Source organism: Homo sapiens, chromosome 22, assembly GCF_000001405.40.
Source record: "Homo sapiens chromosome 22, GRCh38.p14 Primary Assembly".
Taxonomy (NCBI): Eukaryota; Metazoa; Chordata; class Mammalia; order Primates; family Hominidae; genus Homo; species Homo sapiens.
This window is the reverse complement of record NC_000022.11, coordinates 41651060-41664981: the sequence shown is the minus strand read 5'-3', so window position 1 is coordinate 41664981 and position 13922 is coordinate 41651060. Positions and strand designations below refer to the sequence as shown.

General features: G+C 45.5%; 1 protein-coding gene across 5 annotated transcripts in view; it reads right to left on the bottom strand.

The window, feature by feature from the left end:
* Window positions 1-940: 940 nt before the first annotated feature.
* The window catches only part of XRCC6 (X-ray repair cross complementing 6), a 42747-nt gene continuing 29765 nt past the window's right edge, over window positions 941-13922 (bottom strand). For all 5 annotated transcript variants that reach the window (NM_001288976.2, XM_047441304.1, NM_001469.5 and 2 more), the window contains 5 exons: window positions 11292-11453; window positions 7950-8079; window positions 6630-6730; window positions 3538-3651; window positions 941-1360 (listed from right to left, as the gene is read on the bottom strand). In NM_001288976.2, the coding sequence (NP_001275905.1) occupies window positions 1167-1360; window positions 3538-3651; window positions 6630-6730; window positions 7950-8079; window positions 11292-11453 (701 nt within the window). In that variant the 3' untranslated portion in view covers window positions 941-1166. The remainder of the gene's footprint in view (window positions 1361-3537; window positions 3652-6629; window positions 6731-7949; window positions 8080-11291; window positions 11454-13922) is intronic.

Below are 13922 nucleotides of genomic sequence, written 5' to 3'. Positions count from 1 at the left end.
TTAAGGGGAATGGTCCAATTTCTCAACAATTTCTAAGCATCTAATGGGAGAATTATCTTCCCCTCTTGCCCAGACACGTAAGGAAATACAAAAAAATACAGTATCTCCTTTCAAACAGAAACAAAAGCAATAACAGGTTAAAAAAAAAACCTATAAAGCTTAGAGCCAAGAATCCAAAGCTGAAAGGAGTAATTTGGCCCCTCCTACACTCTTCCTCATGAGGTGCTGCTCATTCTAGTCCTGAAGGACACAGGACCTGCAAACCCTTACTCACATCCTCAGAGGAGACCAACAATTCCAGATGCTCTCCTTCCTTCCCTCAGGCTAATTCTTCAAAAGCAGTGGCAGTAGAATGAGCAGGAAAGGGACAGGGAGGACAGAGCAGGGATGTAGAAGAAGAAAAGGTAAAAGACACTCCTGTCCTCTTCCCCTTCTTTAAATACTAGGACATTTTCTCATCTTGAATTTCCTACAGCTCCCCTGAAACACAAGAGGAGTAACTCTTCATTTCACTTATTCTGGAACCCAAATTCTCAGGGCAACAGAAAATGGGTATATTTTTGCATGACTTAATGTTGCATTAAGAGGAATGCAATGAGAAGGAGTTGCTGTTTACTCACGAAGCAAATGGCCCCAGAACTAAGTGTTACCTTCTTACTGCTTCAGAAATCTGATTTTTATACCTTAACATGACACATTTAAAGGAAAACAGGCTAGAGGACAGAGGATAAGGATAATATAATCCTGCTAGGGCTTCTTACTCCCAAAATGCCTTCGCCTGCCCTGACCCGTCACACTCTCACCCGCCCCTCTGATACTTGTTTTGTTTCCATTGTGGTGATGAGTGTTCCCAATGAAAGAGAAAATTAAGCTAAGTGATGGCTAGCAAGTTTTGGATGCAAGGCATACACACCTTTCTCCTTCACACAAAAGAACAGTATATAGTACAAACTTAGGGCTCTTTATTCAGGCAGTAAAGTAAGGAACAGCAAAGTGGGAGGGCTACACCATCACCATGGCAACAGAAAGCCTCAAAAACATAAAGTCCCTCGACTTATGTCGGGTAGACTCTTCCTAGCTCAGGAGAAACACATTTTAACTGGCTGAGGACAAGGCCAGGCAGCCTGGCCACACTGCGGAAGGGCAGCTGGACGCGCGGCCTCTGGTCAGTCCTGGAAGTGCTTGGTGAGGGCTTCCAGCAGCTCCTGCTTCTTCAGCCCACTCTTCAGCCCGTAAGCCCGGCAGGCCTCTTTCAGCATGGGCACAGTGAACTTGCCCAGCGTACCCTTGCTGATGTGGGTCTTCAGCTCCTCTTCTGAATACTCCACCTTGGGCCTTTTGCTTCCAGAACCTTCATTATCTGGGGGGAAAGGTCAGGAGAGAGTGACTGGAAATGCTACATACAAGTGGCATCCCAGCTACATGGCATGGGGGACCTCGTATAATCTGGGCTGCAATTAACCATAAAGCTGTGATGCCAGCCTAGGACACCATGGGGAAGACTTATCTCGATAAGGTAGCTTCATTTAAAGTGCAAAATAAAACACAGATCACACCTAGGAGGAAATTACAAGTAGTGTGAATGCCATCAGTTTACCCAAAACTGTTGCTCACTCTGGGTAAGTCATTCCTTCCTTCCTTTGAAAATCTTTTACAGGTTCATGACCAGCCTTGGTAATACAGTGAGACCCTGGCTCTAAAGTAATAAAATCAACCGGCCATGGTGGTGTGCACCTGCAGTCTCAGCTACTCAGCAGGCTGAGGCTGCAGGATCACTCGAGCCCAGGAGGTTGAGGCTACAGTGAGCCAGTGAACTGTGATTGAGCCACTGGACTCCAGCCTGGGTGACAGAGCAAGACTGTCTAAAAACAAAAAAAGGATATAACTTCTGTATCATTTTTGAGATGGAGTCTCACTCTATCACCGAGGCTGGAGTGCAATGGTGTGGTCTCGGCTCACTGCAACCTCTGCCTCCCGGGTTCAAGGGATTCTCCTACCTCAGTCTCCCAGGTAGTTGGGACTACAGGCGCCCACTACCACATCTGGCTAATTTTTGTATTTTTAGTACAGACGAGGTTTCACTGTGTTGGCCAGGCTGGTCTTGAACTCCTGACCTCATGATCCGCCCACCTCAGGCTCCCAAAGTGCTGGGATTACAGGTGTGAGCCACCGCACCTGGCCAACTTCTGTATCATTTTAAATAGAAATTAAAAAAATTAAGTCCTGGAAGGGTGAGAGTGCAGGAAAACATTCACTCCTTCTTGGATAGAGGGTAAATCACTGTTTTGGAAGCAATTCACTGCAAGAATGCATCCTGTGGATCTATTCACACAAGAACACGATGGAAATGCATGTTCACTGCAGCATATCCACCTGTCAATACAGGTCTGGTTAAATAACCTGGTATATCTATCCAATGAACTACTCTGCAGCCTCATTTTTTAAAAAATGAGATAGGTAAGTGTGGATATAAATAACTGTCCAACATATATAGCTGAGTAACAAAAATAGCAAACTAGAAAACAATGTATTATTCCATTTGTGCTGAAATATGTATGTTGGTATGTGTAAATATGTATGGTTGTATAGACAGTTCTTTTCTAAAATTTTTTCATTTTTAATTTTTGTGGGTACATACTAGGTATATATATTTGTGGGGTACCTGAGGTATTTTGATACAGGCATGCAATGTGAAATAATCACATCAGCATAAATGGGGTATCCATCCCCTCAAGCATTTATCTTTTGTGTTACAAACATTCCAATTGTATTCCTTTAGTTATTTTTAAATGTACAATTAAATTAGACTATAGTCACTCTGTTGTATTATCGAATAGATCTTAATCATTCTATTTTTTTTTTGTACCCATTAACCATCCCCACCAACCCCACAATGCCTCACTACCCTTCTCAGCCTCTGGTAACCATCCTTCTATGCTCTCTCTCCATGAGTTCAATTGTTTTGATTTTTAGATTCCACAAATAAGTGAGAACATGTAAATGTCTGTCTTTCTGAGCCTGGCTTACTTCACTTAACATATTATTGCAAATGACAGGATCTCATTCTTTTTTATGGCCGAATAGTACTCCATTGTGTACGTGTACCACATTTTCTTTACCAGGCATCTGTTGATGGACACAAGTTGCTTCCAGATCTTGGCTATTGTGAATGGTGCTGCAATAAACATGGGAGTGCACATATCTCTTTGATATATTGATCTCCTTTCTTTTGGGTATATACTGACTGGATCATATGGTATGCTGGATCATATGGTAGCTCTAGTTTTCACTTTTTGAGGAAACTCCCAACTATTCTCCATAATAGTGGCTGTACTAATTTACATTCCCACCAACAGTGTATGAGGGTTCCCTTTTCTCCACATCTTTGCCAGCATTTGTTATTGTCTGTTTTTTGGATAAAAGCCATTTTAACTAGACTGTGAATAGATATTTCTGAAAGGATATTGCCCACTGTGATAAGACTATCATAAAAGCAATTTTTAAAAATAGCCCACATGTCCACATTCAGCTTCTCACCGTGTTTTCTCTTGGTAACTTTCCCTTCAGGATTGTAATCTGGTGGGTAAACAAGCTCCTTAAACTCATCCACCAAGGAGCCCAGTCTTTTATTCATTGCTTCAACCTTGGGCACTAGAAAATCAAAACACAGAAGAGTGGCCTGGTGAGTCACGAGCCCCAGCTTGCTGTCCACTTCCAGAACTCTCTGAGAACCAGAAGAGAGAGCACCTAACTGCTAAGGTGGGAGGGGTCTAGGGAAATGTCTTTCCAGCATTTACCAAGTACCTTCCAACACCTGCATTTACTGTAATTACACATACTACCGCCAGGCACTGTTGTAAATGCTTTAAACTTACTCTATTTACTCCTTCTAACAACCTATAGGATAGGTAAATTTGTCCCCAGTTTTTTTTTTTTTAGATTTTTTTTTGAGATGGAGTCTTGCTCTGTTGCCAGGCTGGAGTGCAGTGGCGCGATCTTGGCTCACTGCAACCTCCGACTCCCTGGTTCAAGCGATTCTCCTGCCTCAGCCTCTTGATTTGTCCCCAGTTTTACAGAGGAGAAAAGGAGAGAGATTACATGACTTTCCCAAAGGGCAGTGGTACAGTGGAGATACTAAGCTAGATTCTGGGAATTCAAACAAGTGCTCATGCCTGCGGTGAGCTTACAGCCCAGTGAGAGAGAGGAGGTGGATAAAAACGATGCAGTGGAGTTGGGCAACACCATGCAAGAAGCGACTGTACAGGCACACTGGAACACAGGAGGGGTGGTGAAAGATAAGAAGCAGAAGGCACTGGGAGAGAAATAGCAGGTGACATATAGCTGGAAGGTAGGGTGTTAAGGAGGACAGGGCCAGCAGAGAGGTGAGAAAGATGGGTATGATGAGGTCATGGAAGCTGGGATGCCTGCCAAGGAATTAGGCCTTATCCAAAGAATCCCCTGATAGCTGCATGGAGGGTGAACTGAAAGAGGGTAAGATAAGACAGGTGAAGTGGGGTGTGGGTGGGAGGACCCATAAACATGAGAAGTGACAGAACTGGCAGGACTTACTGATAGAATAGGATTTATTATTTAACTGAAATCACAGAGCTGGAAACCAGAATGTAAGAAGAATAGGAGTGGGATGGGGAGATGACTGGCTGAAACAGGGGGAGCAAGTATGACAGGAAAAGGCAACTTTGGAGGAAAGATCATACTTTTGTTTCCTTTTTTGTTAGCTTACAACTATATTGTTAAATCAAGCTTCTGACATGAGCTGTGTCACATCAAGGGCAAGGGTGATGAGATGGGCAGCTCACATGCCCGTATTTGCCAAGCATGGAGGGGAGCTCTTGCTGGTGTACCTAGATGGCACAATGCTGGAGCCAAACTGTGCTCCTGCTGCATCAGAAGTCCCCTGGTCCACATCATGGGAACCTCTGCAAGAGCACTGGCTCCCAATCTGGGAATCATCTGTAGAGTTTTAAAAGTACAGAGAAGCTGGGTGCAGTGGCTCTTGCCTGTAATCCCAGCACTTTGGGAGGCCGAGGCGGGTGGATCACCTAAGGTCAGGAGTTCAAGATGAGCCTGGCCAATATGGTGAACCCCCATCTCTACCAAAAAATACAAAAATCAGCCAGGCATGGTGGCGGGTGCCTGTAATCCCAGCTACTCGGAAGGCTGAGGCAGGAGAACTGCTTGAGCCTGGGAGCCAAAGGTTTCAGTGAGCCGAGATCCCACCACTGCACTTCAGTCTGGGTGACAAGAGTGAGAACCTGTCTCAAATGAATGAATGAATGTACTGAGGTCCAGCCTATGCTCAGTACTAAAAATAAAAATAAAAGTAGTGAGCATGGTGGCTTATGCCTATAATCCCAGAACTTTGGGAGGCCGAGACAGGTGGATCACTTGAGGTCAGGAATTTGACACCAGCCTGGCCAACATGGTGAAACCCAATCACTAATAAAAACACAAAATAGGCCGTGCGCAGCGCCTCCTGCTTGTAATCCCAGCACTTTGGGAGGCCAAGGCGGGCGGATCACAAGGTCAGGAGATCGAGACCATCCTAACCCAGTGAAACCCCGTCTCTACTAAAAATACAAAAAAATTAACCGGGCTTGGTGGCAGGCACCTGTGTCCTAAACTACCTTGCTAGGCACTAGGCCACCGACTTCTGAATTTGCCTAAGGCCTGAAAGGAGGAGATGGGCTGTTTAGCTCAAAACGTTTCTCTTTCGCCAGACACAGCTAAGCAGGCACCACAGTAACAATGGTCCAATAACTCTTCTGCTTTTAACACTGGGGCTATTTTGTCTAAAATAGATCATTCTGAGACCAGCCGGGCCATCATGGCGAAATCCCGTCTCTACTAAAAATACAAAAATTAGCCGGGCGGGGACCAACTGCTCGGGAGTCTGAGACACGAGAATAGCTTGAACCTAGGAGGCAGACGTAAGCCACTACGCCCGGCTGCGAGTCGCTGGATTCTAAACCCAAATCCACCACTTATTTCCTCTTAAATTATTTATTGATTTTTTGTTTTTGTTTTGTTTTTTGAGACAGCGTCTCGCTCTGTCACCAGGCTGGAGTGCAGTGGTGCAATCTCGGCTCATTGCAGCCTCTGCCTCCTGAGTTCAACCGATCTTCCTGCCTCAGCCTCCCGAGTAGCTGGGACTACAGGCACACGCCACCACACCCAGCTAATTTTTTGTATTTTTAGTAGAGACAGAGTTTAGTAGAGACAGAGTAGAGACATGTTGGCCAGGATGGTCTCAATCTCTTGACCTCGTGATCCACCCGCCTCGGCCTCCCAAAGTGCTGGGATTACAGGCATGAGCCACCGTGCCCAGCCTCTTATATTATTTTTTAAATTTCACCAGCATGTAGTCACAGGGCGGCCTAGTGCAGAGGCAGGTCTCAGAAGCCTGACACTCTCCTCCTCTCACTATGGAACCAGCCAAATCTGTTCCCTGGCTGTTTAAGCTGGTCTGGAAAAGCTTCCAAACAGAGGGGGTCTGGGGAATGAGGTTAAGTGTTTAGAGAGGACTGGGAAATGCACCCAAATTACTGGTGCAGAGTGGAACCAGTAAGAAAGCCTCCCATGAAAAGAACTACTCTATTCAACCTCCTTACATGTCAGGTCCACTGCTTGTTCCGGCTCCATCAAATCCAAGGCCAAGGCCTCCAGGTTCCTGAAGTGCTGCTGCAGCACGGGGTTCTCAAAGCTGTCACTTCTGTTAAAACAATAATGTAACTCAACTGAAACATGACAATTTAAACATTGAAAAAATTAGAATAAAACCACCTGAGATACTACAGGTCCGGGGTGAGCTGAGAAAAACACCCCAAGTAAAACAGTTGAGGTCAGGTGCAGTAGCCCATGCCTGTAATCCCAGCACTTTGGTAGGCCAAGGTAGGCGGAATGCTTGAGTCTAGCAGTTCAAGACCAGCTTGGACAACATGGTGAGACCCTGTCTCTACAAAAAATTTAAAAATCAGCCAGGCATGTTGGTGCACGCCTGTGGTCCCAGCTACTCAGGAGGCATAGGCAGGAAGACTGCTTGAGTCCAGGAGATCGAGGCTGCAGTGAGCCATGATCGTGCCACGGTACTCCAGCCTGGATGGCAGAGCAAGACTTTGTCTCAAGTCAACTTAGAAAGCAAACCAGCCTGGGCACCCTGGCTCATGCCTGTAATCCAGCACTTTGAGAAGCTGAGGCAGGCGGATGGCTTGAGCTCAGGAGTTCCAGACCAGCCTGGGCAACATGGTGAAACTCCGTCCCTACAAAAAATACAAAAATTAGCCAGGTGTGGTGGTGCAAGGGTATGGTCCCAGCTACTCAGGAGTCTGAGGTGGGAGAATCACCTGAGCCCAGGGAGGTCAAGGCTGCAGTGAACTACAGTAACACCACTGCAATCAAACCTGGGTGACAAGAGACCCTGTCTCAAAATAATAATAATAATAATAATAATAATAATAATAATAATAATAATAAATTTTTAAAAATGACATGTGAAAAAAATTACGTTTAGTGTCCCATTATGCAGGCTCTGAGAGTTGGTCTATTATATATGTGAGAGGGAATGACTTGAATTACTTAATCATTCTTTTAAGCCTTTAACAATTTACACTAGATTTATTTACTTTTGCTCATTGTGGAATAACAAACACAATCAAGGAGAAGGGCGAATAAGAATCCTGCTATTTTTTCAAATTTGTTCAACCAACTAATCTGGCTAAGTACAGCACAACAGAGAAACCACAAAATCCCAGAGTCTCCAACATAATAAAAGGTTCCATTCTCTATATGGCTTTCAAAAAACTATTAATAACAAGTAGTAATCTGTCAGTTTGCTGAAAAGAGTAGTGCCATTCTCTTGGCCTATGCCCAAGCTGTTTCTAATAAGATTTTCAACTCAGGAGGCAGTTCCAGAAAGCCTGAGATTGACTCACCTGTATGTGAAGCGAAGCTTCTCAACGATAGCCTTCATCTTGCCCACCTGCTCTGGAGTTGCCATGATTTTTTCAGTAAAGGGCATCTTCCTTTTATCATCAGCAAAGGGTAAAAAGACCAGCTGGAAGCCTGAAGAAAGGAGATAAATTTTCTTTGATTTGACTTCAAGTGTTGCAGTCACTTGTTTCTCAGCTCCAAATTCTTCCTTTTATGTCCTGTGGTGCTGGGGCTGGGGCCCCGTAGGCCCCATTTCTTGAACTCCACCAGCTGGTTTTTGTTATCATCTGCCTAACAGACTCCCTCTGCAGTTTCCAGAAGACTGCAAGGGAGGAGGGGTGCCCCTTCCTGTATACAGTAGATCCCTTATCCCTGGGGAATATGTTTGAAGAACCCGGGAGGATACCTGAAACCTCGGACAGCACCAAACCTGACTGCCGTCAATTGAAACATGTTTGTCCATGTCATACGTTCATAAATTTAATATTTAATGTTTTTTTCCATCTTTTTTTTTTTTTGAGATGGAGTTTCACTCTTGTCGCCCAGGCTGGAGTACAGTGGGCAATCTCGGCTCGCTGCAACCTCCGCCTCCCAGGTTCAAGCGGTTCTCCTGCCTCAGCCTCCTGAATAGCTGGGATTACAGGCGCCACCACGCCCGGCTAATTTTTGTACTTTCGGTAAAGATGGGGTTTCGCCATGTTGGCCAGGCTGGTCTCAAACTCCTGACCTCAGGGGATCTGCCCACCTCGGCTTCCCAAAGTGCTGGGATTACAGACGTGAGGTACCGCGCCCAGCCTTCATCTTTTTTTTTTTTTTTTTGAGACAGGATCTTGCTATCACCCAGGCTGGAATGCAGTGGTGTGATCACAGCTTACTGTAGCCTCTACCTCTCCGGCTCAAGTAGCCTATCAAGTAGCTGGGACTACAAGTGAATGCCACCACACTTGGCTACTTTTTTTTATTTTTTTGCAGAGACAGAGTTTCACCATGTTGCTCAGGCTGGTCTCAAAACTCCTGGGCTCAGGCGATCCACCTGCCACAGCCTCCCAAAGTGCTAAGATTACAGGCATTAGCCACAGTGCCTGGCCTCCTTTTCTATTTTAACTAAGCACTTCTCATGTACTGTGGCAGTAACTTTTACAGTTTGAGGTGCAACAGGAAAACTAGCTTGGGCCGGACATGGTGGCTCACGTCGGTAAGCACAGCACTTTGGGAGGCTGAAGCAGGAGGATCACTTGAGCTCAGGAGTTCGAGACCAGCCTGGGCAACATAGTGAGACCTTGTCTCAATTTATGTAAAAAAAGAAGGGGGGGAAAAAACTATTTTTTTTTTTTTTGAGACAGAGTCTCGCTCTGTCACCCAGGCTGGAGTGCAGTGGCGCAATCTCAGCTCACTAACTCCACCTCCCGGGTTCACACCATTCTCCTGCCTCAGCCTCCCAAGTAGCTGGGACTACAGGAGCCTGCCACCACACCTGGCTAATTTTGTATTTTTAGTAGAGACGGTTTCACCGTGTTAGCCAGGATGGTCTCAATCTCCTGACATCGTGATCCGCCACCTTGGCATCCCAAAGTGCTGGGATTACAGGCGTGAGCCACCACGCCTGGCCACTAAGATGAATTTCTTTTTCCTTCTTAACAATTTTGTGGATAGAAGATTCCTTCTTACCATGTATCTTAGCAACCTCAGCATAAAAAAAAAAAAAAACTAAAATGAATTTTTTCCCTTAACAATTTTGTGGTTCGAAGATTCCTTCTTACCATATATCTTAGCAACCTTAGCATATATTTTTTTCCTCCTTAAAGTCAAGAACTCTCACCTTTTCATTTAAAGGAAGCACTTTATGACTTTCTCTTTAGTATATCCAAACTGCCAGCACCACTACACTTGTGCTTTGGGGCCGTTATTAAATAAGGGTGACCTGAACACAAGCACCGCAATACTGATTACCTTGACAGTCAATCTGATAACCAAGACAGCTACTAAGTGACTAACTGGTGGGTAGCATTTACAGTGTGGAGATGCTGAACAAACAGATGATTCCTGCCCCAGGTGGGATTGTGCTTTTAAGTTATTTCTAGAATTTTCCACTTAAAATTTTTGGACCATGGTTGACTATGGGTAACTGAAACTGCAGAAAGCAAAACTGTGGTTGCGGCCCTCCTGTATTTACTGTTCCTACCTGTATTGCCCCAGCAAAGACCCTTTACCTGGCGGCAGTTGGTTCCAGTCTCCAGCTTTTTTGATACATCCAGAGCTAGCCGGACAGTGCCTCCTCCCTGGAGGGCTAAGTCCCAGCTCCATGGGGGCCTTCTCTGAGCTTCACCCTCGCCCCTTTTTTCCTTACCCTCTACCACGTGATAAATAAAAGGAAACAGGTAAGAGTTATCAGGCTGATTTTAGTTCAGTTACTGGCTGGTTCTGGAAGGACTAAAAAATCTACGCCCTGTAACTAACTGCTGCTACCAGGTGAAAGCCTTTGCTGACAATGCTGACCACACTGAGCAAACAGGAAGAAGCAAATCCCTCACCTCTCCTCTGCCCTTTGGTCTCCCTCTAGCACCCACTATAGACACAGCCTGAGAGCCAGCTGTGAAAGATGAAATTAGGTTTGGATCATTTCAGCCTCAGTAGTGCAGAGCATAAAAGGGTGAATTTGGAGCTGAGATACAATAGCTTAGTAACTGAGCACTCCTGAGCATGCTGAGGATCAAAGTTAAAACTACAGTAACTCATCTCAAATGTAAAACCACCCCGAGGGAAAGGTGCTCCAGAACGCCCATCTTTGTAGCTAAGGAATATTAAACAGAAAGGTTAAATTACTTGCCCACGTTGACCAGCTAACAAGCAGCAGAGATGGGCCCAAAACAAAAGCAAGCAAGCTTCCAGACACATAAGCACAAGATAAAGTCAAATCTGACTTTAAAATCCATGGTCTTTCCGCTATACCTCACTATCTTGGCAAACCCCATGGTTGGTTTGTATAGGAACTAAACCAAACATTAGACATTACAAGGGTGCCAAACAATGGCTTTGGAAAGAAAGGTGTCGGCAGTGAGGTCCCAAGAACTTGTGTCAGTAATCTGCAAACAGTCCCCTAGGCAGACATTTCTCTATCCTAGCTGCAGATCAGCCTTGTACGGCTGCGCATGCTGTGCACCCCATCACCATATTTAGTGGCCTTACCTGGCTGTGCACTAAATTCACCCAAGAAAGCTTAAAAATAGACATTTTTAAGCCCCATTCCCAGAGACTATGATTCAGTAGGTCTGCATTAGGAGTCCATGGATGATTCCAAAGTATGGGCAAGGTTCAGAAGCCCTGGAAATATCTCTGCCACATACCTGGAGGAGTCACCTGAATTTTCTGGTCATCCAACTCTTCTTCCTGTGGCACCAAAGCCACAAAATAAGGAGGGATGTTCCTGCGGGGTGTGTATCTGCACAATGCTGCAACCTCCTTCTCCAGACACTTGATGAGCAGAGCACTGAACAGGGTTGAGCTCCCTAGAAAACAAAAAGCCCAGTGACTAGCCTCCTAAAAAGGTTTCCTCCTTTCTTCTCTTTTAGCCCTAAAGTTTCTCTTCCATTTTCTTTAAAGGGCTTATTTTAATTTTATTATTTATTTATTTGAGACGGGGTCTCGCTCTGTCACCCAGGATAGAGTGCAGTGCTGCAATCAGAACTCACTGCAGCCTTGACCTCCCAAGCTCAAGCAATCTTCCCACTTCTGCTTCCTGAATAGCTGGGACTACAGTCACACACCACCACACCCAGCTAGTTTTAAGATTTTTTGTAGAGACAAAGTATCTCTAAGTCACCCACGCTGGTCTCCAACTCCTAGGCTCAAGTGATCCTCCAGCCTCAGCCTCCCAAAGTGTTGGGATTACAGGCATGAGCCACCACACCAAGCCTTTAAAGGGCTTATAATATCTCAACAGGTAAGGGTTGGAGGACCCCACAGCTGAGGGGAAAATGGGGACAGCAGAGACACAGAAAGGAAAATTTAAAAAGGAATAAGAGGTTTAGAAGCCCCAAACATTCCACTTAAGAAAGTGAATTATGGCCGGGCATGGTGGCTCACGCCTGTAATCCCAGCACTTTGGGAGGCACAGGCGGGTGGATCACAAGGTCAGGAGTTCGAGACCAACCTGGCCAGTATGGTAAAACCCCATCTCTACTAAAAATACAAAAATTAGCTGGGCATGGTAGTGCACGCCTGTAGTCCCAGCTACTTGGGAGGCTGAGGCAGAAGAATCGCTTGAATTCAGGAGGCGGAGCTTGCAGAGAGCAGAGACATTGCCACTGCATTCCAGCCTGGGCGACAGAGTGAGACTGTTTCAAAACAAACAAACAGAAAGTGAATTATTGGCCAGGTGAGGTGGCTCACGCTTACAGTCCTAGCACTCTGGGAGGCCAAGACAGGTAGATTGCTTAAGCCCAGGAGTTTGAGACCAGCCTGCCCAACATAGCAAAACCCTGTCTCTACTAACATTACAAAAGATTAGCTGGACGTGGTGGTGTGGACCTGTAGTCCCAGTTGCTCGAGAGGGTGAGGTGGGAAATCACCTGAGCCTGGGAGCTTGAGACTGCAGTGAGCCAAGATGGTGCCACTGGACTCTAGCCTGGGTGACAGAGTGAGACACTGTCTCCAGAAAAAAAAAAAAAAAGCAAATTATTAATGTCAGTTCACTTTTACTGACACTAGGTTAATGACATGACCCCAGTTACTAATGAAAACCAATCGAGTCAAATCTGGGGTGTTCATGAGCCATAGCACAAAAGAAGATAGGGTCTAGACTGCACAAATAAACACAACGGCAAGGTTCACATCCTCTTTAATTTCCAACACTGGAGAAAAAGCTGTGGACTTATTTTGGTTTTGTTTGCTTTTTGCTATCTGATGCTTCAAAGAATTACATGGGAAATTGTTTTTAAAAAGCTAAATTCCAGGCTGGACGTGGTGGCTCACGCCTGTAATCTCAGCACTTTGGGAGGCCGAGGCGGGTGAATCACCTAAGGTCAGGAGTTCGAGACAAGCCTGGCCAACATGGTGAAACCCCATCTCTACTAAAAATACAGAATTTAGCCGGGCGTGGTGGCGTGCACCTGTAATCCCAGCTACTTGGGAGGCTCAGGCAGGAGACTCGCTTGAACCCAGGGGACGGAGATTGCAGTGAGCCGAGATTGCGCCACTTCACTCCAGCCTAGGCGACAACAACAAAAAAATGAATAAAAATATAAATATAAATAAGGCCAGGTGCAGTGGCTCACGAGGTCAGGAGTTCGAGACCAGACTGGCCAAAATGGTGAAACCTCGTCTCTACTAAAAATACAAAAATTAGCTAGACGTGGTAGCAGGTGCCTGTAATCCCAGCTACTCCAGAGGCTGAGGAAGGAGAATCGTTTGAACCAGGGAGGTGGAGGTTGCAGTGAGCCGAGATTGCACCATTACACTCCAGCCTGGGTGACAGGGTGAGACACTGTCTCAAAAAAAAAATTAAATTAAAAAAATATATATATATAAAGCTAAATTCCACAGTCCTCACCCGGGAGGCAGATGTTGCAGTGAGCTGAAACTGCACCACTGCACTCCAGCCTGGGTGACAAGAGTAAAACTCCATCTCCAAAAAAAAAAAAAAAAAAAAAAAAAAAAAAAAAAAAAAAAAAAAAATCTGTTTAACTTTCTTCATTCCCACATTTCCAAAATTTGAGCTTGAAACACTTTTGGTTTTTTTGAGACAGAGTCTCACTCTATGGCCCAGGCTGGAGTGCAGTGGTGTGATCTCAGCTCACTGCAACCTCTGTCTCCCAGGTTCAAGCGATTTTCATGCGTCAGCCTCCCAGGTAGCTGGGATCACAGGCGCAAGCCACCAGGCCTGGCTAAATTTTGTATTTTTAGTAGAGACGAGGTTTCACCATGTTGGCCAGGCTCGTCCTGACCTCAGGTGACCCATCCGCCTCAGCCTCCCAAAG